This window comes from Homo sapiens, chromosome 14 (genome assembly GCF_000001405.40).
Source record: "Homo sapiens chromosome 14, GRCh38.p14 Primary Assembly".
Lineage (NCBI taxonomy): Eukaryota > Metazoa > Chordata > Mammalia > Primates > Hominidae > Homo > Homo sapiens.
The window spans coordinates 46815782-46824745 of NC_000014.9; the positions used below are offsets into that span (position 1 = coordinate 46815782).

At 36.7% G+C, this 8964-nt stretch overlaps 1 annotated feature.

The window, feature by feature from the left end:
* Window positions 2517-3048: an enhancer, noted in NCBI's record as "OCT4-NANOG hESC enhancer chr14:47287501-47288032 (GRCh37/hg19 assembly coordinates)". NCBI's record gives its function as "activates a minimal SCP1, AML or CMV promoter by ChIP-STARR-seq in primed H9 embryonic stem cells {active_cell/tissue: H9 hESC(primed)}" and the evidence as "EXISTENCE:reporter gene assay evidence [ECO:0000049][PMID:30033119]".

The window sequence follows — 8964 nt, forward strand, 5'->3', positions numbered from 1 at the left end:
TCTTTCTGGAACATTTTTCCCCCAGACTTTCATGGAGCTAACGTCTTCACCACCTTCAAGTCTCTGCTCAGACTTCACCTTATCAACAGAAACTTCTTATTAAAATTATAATCTCTTTTAATTTTAAAATTAAAAATTACGGTTTCAAATTACCATTGCTTTGCTTTACTTTTTTTATTTTTTCCTTATAACACGAATCACCAACTAACATAATTTACTTTCAAAATTATATTTGTTGTTTATCATCAGTCTCTCCACAACTAAGAAACATTCAGGAAATCTCGATATGTATCTGTTTTGTTCACTGAGGTTCAAGTTCCAAATGCGAAGAACATAATCTGGCACATAGTAGGCACTCAGTAAACATTTATTGCAAGCATAGGAAAGCCAACTGGTAACAGAAAGAGAGGAAAATAGATTCAGATAGAAATAAACATACAGAGACAGTTGAGGCACTGTAAATGGGGAGCTGTATCATGCGCATTCTTAATGTTCTGTTGCTTATACAAGCTTTAGATGTAAAAAGAATTCTATTCTCCAGCCAGTAACAGTTCCTCCTCATCGATGTTGTAAAAGTCAGGTTCTCTTAAACCCATGCAAATCCTTACTTCTACCGTGCACTACCTGAAATAACCTGTTACTGTGATCAACAATGCCAAGCAAAAACACAAACAAAAAATATCCTAGACTATGACACGAAGCATCTACAAAATGTGTTTCAAAATAATTTCGGCTCTCAATATATCATGGGTTTTTAATATCTATAACTGAGTAGTATTCACATAAAAGACTTGATTATTAAATCTATTCATTAATATTCATCCATTATAAAAGCATTTTAAAGTAGACTTGCATAAAGATAGCTAGTTGCAAAATTCAGAATCAATAATTCTTAGAGCAAACTTATTTTTATTCAAAAAAGCAAACTCAGGGGCTATTATATGTGGTGTTCTTTTTGAAGCCAGGCTGAAATACGAAAATAAAATAAACCAATTACTCAAAACTTCTTTAACCTTTCAATATATGTACCATGTTTATACCCTTGTGTTCTTCATGTCCTTGTGTAATTTAACATTATGTCTATAAGGTCAGATACATTTTTTGCTTGTTAATTGAATAACCTTGAATAATTAGCTCTCTACTCATGAACAGATTTTTTCCCCTTTTTCCTTTGAACAGCTTCACAACATAGTGTTTAGCATTTGCAGTAAGATTTCAGGATAGTTCTTACTTTGAATCTCAAGTATTGACAGAAAACTAACTTTGTGGACTACAATTTGTCACATCAAACTTAATCCATTTAATATTCCAAAAAGGCTCTTAAAATTTCTAACTTCTTAAGAACATGCAATACCTAAACTGCTTATGTTTGGTGCATTTTTCCCTTTTTCATTTTTAATGATAATTTTCATTCCCGCAATCCTTGAATACACAGATGATCCAATGGTAATGAAGTGATTGAGTGCTTACCTTTGTGGGGTGCATTAGATCTTTCAGGCCACTTATGTCCATTTAGTAAATTGCTACTCCAATGCATTAAGTGGAACTCCAGTAGCCTAAAATTGTTAATGCACTTAATAATTTGGCACTTGTAATTGCCAGTGATGGTAGTACATTTGCTTTCAGATTCTCATAGTAATTATTATGAAAAAAGAATTTGTGCCCAAAGAATTACATGATTGGCCATTAGAATTATATAGGCTCTTTAAAATTTATAATAAATCCCTTTGCCATCTAATATTAAATAATGGATACTTCAGAAGATGCTGCCAGATTTTTTTTCTTCTCAAAATGCAAAATATGTTCCTCCATGCAATAAAAGAAGCCACATACCTATACTCTAGTAAATAACTCAGTGCTATATTTGCATTTTGTCTTTATATTTAACTGCATCACCACTGTAAAAAAAACCTCATGTAAAAGTAATATATTCTATGTTATGGAGGGAAACAGAAGTGTCAGGGTACAACGTTTTAGTTATGTAGGATGAAAGAGTTCTGGAGACCTAATTGACAGCATGATGGCTATAGTTAATAACACTATGTATACCTGAAAGTTGCTAAGAGAGTAGATCTTAAATCTTTTCAGCACACACACAAAAAGGTGACAAATACGTTAATTAGCTTGATAGTGATATTTGTTTCACAATATATGTATATCAAAAAGTCATACTGTTCACCTTAAATACATATAATTTTCATTGTCAATTATACCTTATTAAAGGTTAGAGGGAAATGATATCACAGAATGAAAAGGAATTAGGCAGATCCTTCCAATAGCTGAAAGAGTATAGCTTCCCAACCATAATGCAGAATCCCACATTTAAAACTCTACAGGGATTTTTTTTTTCTTGTAAGCATCAAAATTTTTTATTGAAAAAAACAATGGCTAGTTTTTATCCAAATTGAAGGCATAATCACATATTTCTAATTTTCTATGTTGCATGAAATGACTACTTAGTTTTCAAAGGCAACCATGGGTGACAAGCAATTAGCTTTAGTCAATAGACTTCCTTTATGGCTCATTTAAAGCCACCCATTATCTCTCACTATGGTGCCGCTCACCTTTGTCAATGTAACAATCAGAGAAGCAGCATCTCTAAGATGATGCACTTTCCAAAGCATAAGCACATGTTACAGAAGATCTAATTCACCCTCCATGTTTCAATTCTAAAAGTTCAGCAGAATTCACCATGTGTTTTCAGGCATCCTAATTTCTTGGCATTCACTTCTTAATTAGTTAGTGAGAGGTAAACCAAGCTCTATAATCCTGAGAGGAATTGATGTAAGGGCAGGGTTTAATTGGACGTTTAAAATCACTCGCAAATTGCTGTTATCCTTAAATATATGGTGTCCCTCCATCATGCTGGTGTCATTCAATGAGCTGATATTGATCAAGTCAGCTTATTAGCCAGATAATGAAACCACTTTGTTTATGCTTTGCTTCTGTAAATTTTCTGCTGTACTCTGTGAAGAGTTTCATCTCTGTCAAGTATAAACATCAAATGGCTTTATTTTACCTGTAACTCTTACCCACTCTGTTCTGTTACCATTATTTTTGCTGAGTATCAAGATCACTTTTGAATATTTTAGTCTGATTCCATGACTTGTTACTCACCTTGGGTTATTACAACAATGTAATTCAGTTACTGAGATTCTATCCTACAGATTTAAAAACGTAGATTCATGTTTACTTAATGTTCTTACCCTTCCCCCCCTACCAGGGTCAGTAAAGCCCAGTAGCTTGCATTGTAGGGTGGGTAAACTTGGTCTGCTTCTCTCATACTGGCCTTTCCACTGTCCTTGCTCTCAGAGGGTGGGACAAAAAGGAAGAGGGAAAGATAACTGTTTTTTAATGCCTGTGGCAATTTATCTAAATCTTATGATCAATCATACGTAACACAAGCAGCCACACACTGGAGATGATAAGGTTGTGGTCCTTTCTATGGTGGTCATTATCTTGAGACAGTCAAGTATAAAGGGGTCCCTGGGGAATCCTCCACCGGCCTGTGCACTGGGTGAACCGGGTGGAGCTGCGGGAAGTTCGTGCCCTTTGGAGTGGGGAGGAGCCTGGCCGCTCCTTTTCCAGGATGGGAACCTGGGATTCAGTCTGTGAGATGAGGTCCTGTTAACAGGAACCCCTCTCTGGCTTTGCTGTGTTGTTTTTTTTTTTTTTTCCTTTTCGCCCAAAAAATTCCGTTTCTCCCACCCTTCTATGTGTCCGTGAGCCTAATCTTTCCTGGTTGTGTGACAAGAACCCAGCTTTTAGCAGAAGCAAGAAGAAAGTCGTCCTACAGCAATCTCTTGTGTAGTTTATAGGATCAATGAGAAGAAAGGCAAAAACTTCATTGAGAAGACACTATTTTAAATAGTCTCTCTAGGCATGGGGAATTCATTTTGGCTTGGGCTGCATCTTTCAGTCGCCTCCCCAGCTTGGGGGCTTTACATTGCATTCCACTGTGTGGATCCTATTGCTCTATGTTGCAATAAGTGAGGCAAACTTGCTCTAGAAACTTCACCTACTTCTTATGTCCCACATCTGGGGGGCTACAAACACCAGAGATCTATCTTCACTACCTTTCAGAAACCTACGCTGCAGAGACAGTCTTCAGTTAGTCAGTCTCACAGTATTATTAAGTTATCCTGGCTGAAATGACACCTCACAGCCCTCAGGTGTGTGCTTCTCTGGTTGATTGATGCTTCTAAACTTTTTAACTATTCACTCTTCTGGTCTGTGTATTTGTTTGTTTTTTTAAGAGACAGAGTCTTGCTCTGTCCCCCTGGCTGGAGTGCAGTAGCCCAATAGTGGCTCACTGCAGCCTCAAACTCCTGGGCCCAAGCAATCCTCCCAACTCAGCCTCCCTAATTGCTGAATTACAGGTATAAGCCACGTACCTGGCCCTATTTATTCATCAATAAGAGCTGTGAACAATACCTTCAGTTCACGGTTCTCAAACTGAGAGGTGACAGCGTGCTGGCGGACCTGGCAGCCCTCGCAGCCCTCACTCGTTCTCGGTGCCTCCCCGGCCTCGTCCAGGCGCCCATTCTGGCCGTGCTTGAGGAGCCCTTCAGCCCGCCGCTGCGCTGTGGGAGCCCTTCTCTGAGCTGGCGGAGGCCGGAGCCGGCTCCCTCGGCTTGCCGGGAGGTGTAGCGGGAGAGGCACCGGCGGGAACCGGGCCTGCGCGCGGCGCTTGCGGGCCAACTAGAGTTCCGGGTGGGCGTGGCCTTGGCCGGCTCCGCACTCGGAGCGGCCGGCCAGCCTTGTTGGCCCGGACAGTGAGGGGCTTAGCACCCGGGCCAGCAGATGTGGAGGGTGCGCCAGGTCCCGCAGCAGTGCTGGCCCACCGGCGCTGCGCTCGATTTCTCGCCGGGTCTCAGCTGCCACCCCGCGGGGCAGGGCTCGGGACCTGCAGCCCACCATTCCTGAGAAATATGTGGGGTTCTATCATCTATATGACATAGCATGTCTCCCCACATCTTCTCTTCTCTCAGACGTTATGAACTGCTTTTTCTCTTTCTGTTACCATCAATATTTTTCCCAACTTTGTAGCTTCTCATATTTTTTAGAATACCTGCTCTGGAGTGTCCCCTTTTTCTACAACAGAAAACAACTAATTCTAAACTCAGCCCCATCTGAAGCTAATATTAGACAGAAAGATGTAAGGAACCCTGACTCAAAATTTTGGGGCTTAGCCCCAAGTTAACATTCTTGCCATTTGGATCTTTGTTTTTGCTGTAATTCAATGGAATTTAATTTAATAACCAATTAATTAGTAAATGCTTTGTGCTTGACACTTTATGTACTAGGAATAAATTTAAATAAGGAGTTCATAGTTTGAGAGAGAAGACAGATGTCTAAAGAGTACTTATAAACAAATTAGGTAGTTACAGTATATTTGGGGAAGATTGAGGAAGCCAAAACTAACTCAGCTAAGAAGTGTATCATGGAAGAGGGAACACATAAATGGGTCTTATCAATAGGGTGATTAAATTTTGAGTTGCTAGCTTGAACTTTGACCCCTTCAATAATAGCTGTCTCCCCGAATGCCCACTCATCTCAGAGGACAGGAAGAATTCCAGGGCTTTATTTTCCTAAAATGTTCAGCATTTGCCAAGATTCAAATCAATAAAACATAATATTAAATTAGAGCAAGACAAAATAATATAAGCCATGCTAATAAAGTGATGAGGGAACAAGCCCACATGAACATAAAATAATAAAGAGATTTTAGTGTAAAACAGCAAAAGACAGCATCTTGAAAAACTAGAATTTGAGAAAACATTGAGTAAAGTATGCATGAGGCCATTTTGTGCAGAAAGAAAAGAAGATATCTTGGAAAGGAAGACATCATGAGCAAAATTATACAGTCAAGAGAGCAAAGGATATATTAATAAAATCAGTAATGCAAAGAGGTGGGAAGAAGAAGGTATTGGTAGAATTTGCTTACTGATCAGATTCAAGAGAGATAATCAAGCAAAGAAAGATAGGAGTTGGACTCTAAAATTTTGGATGTTTTCTCTGGAAATATAGATTGGATAAAAGTTTAAAGGTAAGGCAATTGACTTCTCTGTATTTAGAAGTCAATTAGAGTTTAAATTATGAAACTTATTTTTCATATGTATGTGCCTTTTAGAGAGAGAGAGACAAGGAGTCAAAATCAGAAAACACTGGTCAGATTAAGTAACTAATCTGAACACCCAGCTTTGAATTGATAAATAATATATAACAAAAACTGAGTTAATTTGCAAGTAACCCACACAGAAATATAAAGATCTAAATATTCTAAATGTAAGGTAATTGCTTGGATATTAACTATAATGTTCATGCTACTTATTATAGACAGCAATTCAATTTTTGATTTAATGATTTTCTTCTTTCTAAAGGTATTTGACATATCAGAAGTTGTAAATAATGGTAAATACATCTCCGATTTTTTTTACGGCCAAAATGTGAGACCTTATCTGCAAATAGCCCCTTTCATCCATCTTCTAAAACAAAATGTGGTGCATAGGAGAAATGAGATGTGTACAATAATCAACACACCTCATATGAATTTTAATATCACAATTGTTATATTTTAAAATTCTGTTTATTAAAAATCAATTATAGTTTTCAATCCTAGCATAATTGTTTGAGAGATATCTGATTTTGAATTAATTCCATACATGTGCAATTCTTGATTTTTATTTTTTCTGTTCCTCCTATTAGGGGAGAAAGAAAGAAAAAAGGTTAATTTTTAGGTAATTTTCATTCATTTCATTTGATACAAATGAATGCTTTTTTTCTCTTTGTTTCTTTAGCATACATCATTTCAATTAATTTCCTAAACTGTTCTTAAACCTATGAAGAGCAGATCATCTTACAACATCTTACAATTCCAATGCTTTCCTTCTCCCTGGCTTTATTATTATTTTTTATTCATAGCACTTGTCACAATTCAACGTATAAAGCAGTTTATTTTGTTTTGTTTGTGGTGGCAGTTTATACTTCTATTAGAACATAAGCTACCTAAGTGCAGGTATTTTTGTCGTTTATCGTGTTGTGTTCTTAATACATAGAACGATGCCTGGCTCATAGATGTCACTGATTTGTTGTTGTTCTTATTATCAAATGAATAGAGAGACAGATACATTCTTGAACCCATGGCTTTAAAAAAGCCCATTACATTTGTGAATAGAAACATCTTATTACAACTTAGAAACTGATTAAACAAAAATGAAACAACTTTAACTATAATATCACTATGAAAGTTGTCGTTTTACAGAATCATTCAATCTGCGGAAATTTCTATTGATTGGGGACAGAATATGGTTGAAACAAAATACAGGTAATCCTCTAAATCCAATGATGTTATTTCTAGGTTATTCTTCCTTTATACTTGCAACACAACCCTGGAAGGTTTGCTTGCAATAGCTAACCAGATAAGTACTAATTTACTTAAGGATAAAGAAAGTCAGGCTTGTAATAGCTTCTTTAGAAATGGGCATATTTACCCAAAGACTCTTTAAATATAGCTTCTTTCTCAATTGACTGCACAGCATCACAGATTTTGTTAAGCTCCTGGTAAGTATATTTCTTTTTTTAAATTAAATTTAGGTTTTGGGTCAGAGCTAACTTCACAAAAAGATAGTTTGCTTATGTTATAGCCCCAGAGTTTTTAAGACACTTGCTTTATAGCTGTAACTAATAATTTTGCAAAATATCAGATCTGAGAGAAGTGAGGGCTCTGAGTAACTGATTTTGACAGAGCCTCACAGCATCCTTTCTCCAGAGTGTCTGCATTCTCTCCATTCACGACCACCATATTTTGGTCACTACAGCAGTTTCACAAAGCAAAGGGATACTGGGTTCATGGGCTGAGAGTAGTTTGTGGAGGCAGAGTGTTATCTTATTTTCAACGTGATTCTCCTTAATTTTGCAATGCAAAACCAAGAGTAGAACCAACATTCACAAATACTGGGTGGGTGGGATATATTTAAGAAATATTTACTGAGAATTGAATAGAGCTACTGCAAGTAGGCACGTAAATATTTCATTCAAGACTTATTACTGTTTCCCACCAAGAAGACTGAGGCTAGATTGCCTTAAATATAGAAAAGCAAAAGCTCACTTAAATTGATGATACTAACTTGAGAATGGGCAGTGTCATACATCTTGTTCACATTGCATTCCCAGTTCTAAGCAGCATACCTACCTTGTAATAGCATACTCTATAGTTCTGTGGAATTCATGCATGCTTGAAGAAATGAATTCAGAAGTAAAAAGAAAGCAGAATAGTCTAACTCCAGCATGACTAAGTTGTAAGGCCTATACTCTAGTTAGTACAGGCAACACATCTGCCTTTCCCTCAATACTAAGCACCCAACCAACTCACAATTAAAAAGAATATAAATCCAAATGTGGAAAAAAAACCCACAAAAAATCTCAGAGAAATATGACAAGACAAATGATATCATTTAAACTACTTTTAAAAGAACTAAATGTGTCTTTTGTCAGCAAGTATTTCTTAGAACAAACTTTTCCTTTCTAACAGAAATTATATTTCATGTAGGACACTGCTCTTATACTATCAAGTTGCAAAACTGTTATTTTTCTAAGCTTATTCTTTGGGACAGAAAATAAATTTATTCAAATAAATTGGCAGTAGCATTACTGGGAAATCTTTTCAGAAGAGGCATGACATTCTCCTTTGTGTATTCATTATAAATATAAACAATAATCCTGTTTATTTGACCGACTTACTTGAATTCTGCCTTTATGAAGTTCATCTCTACTCAATTTCAACATAGAATTAACAGTCTAGAAATTCCTTCTTAATATTTATAGCCAGTTGGAAACAGTCATAGTACTTCTCAACAAACTCTTTTATAGGGGTGAAGGGGAAATTACAAATAGATTTTCCTTACAACTAAGTCATGTCGTTTCTTTAGCAATATCAGTGCACTTGCACTTAAACCTCTTAGT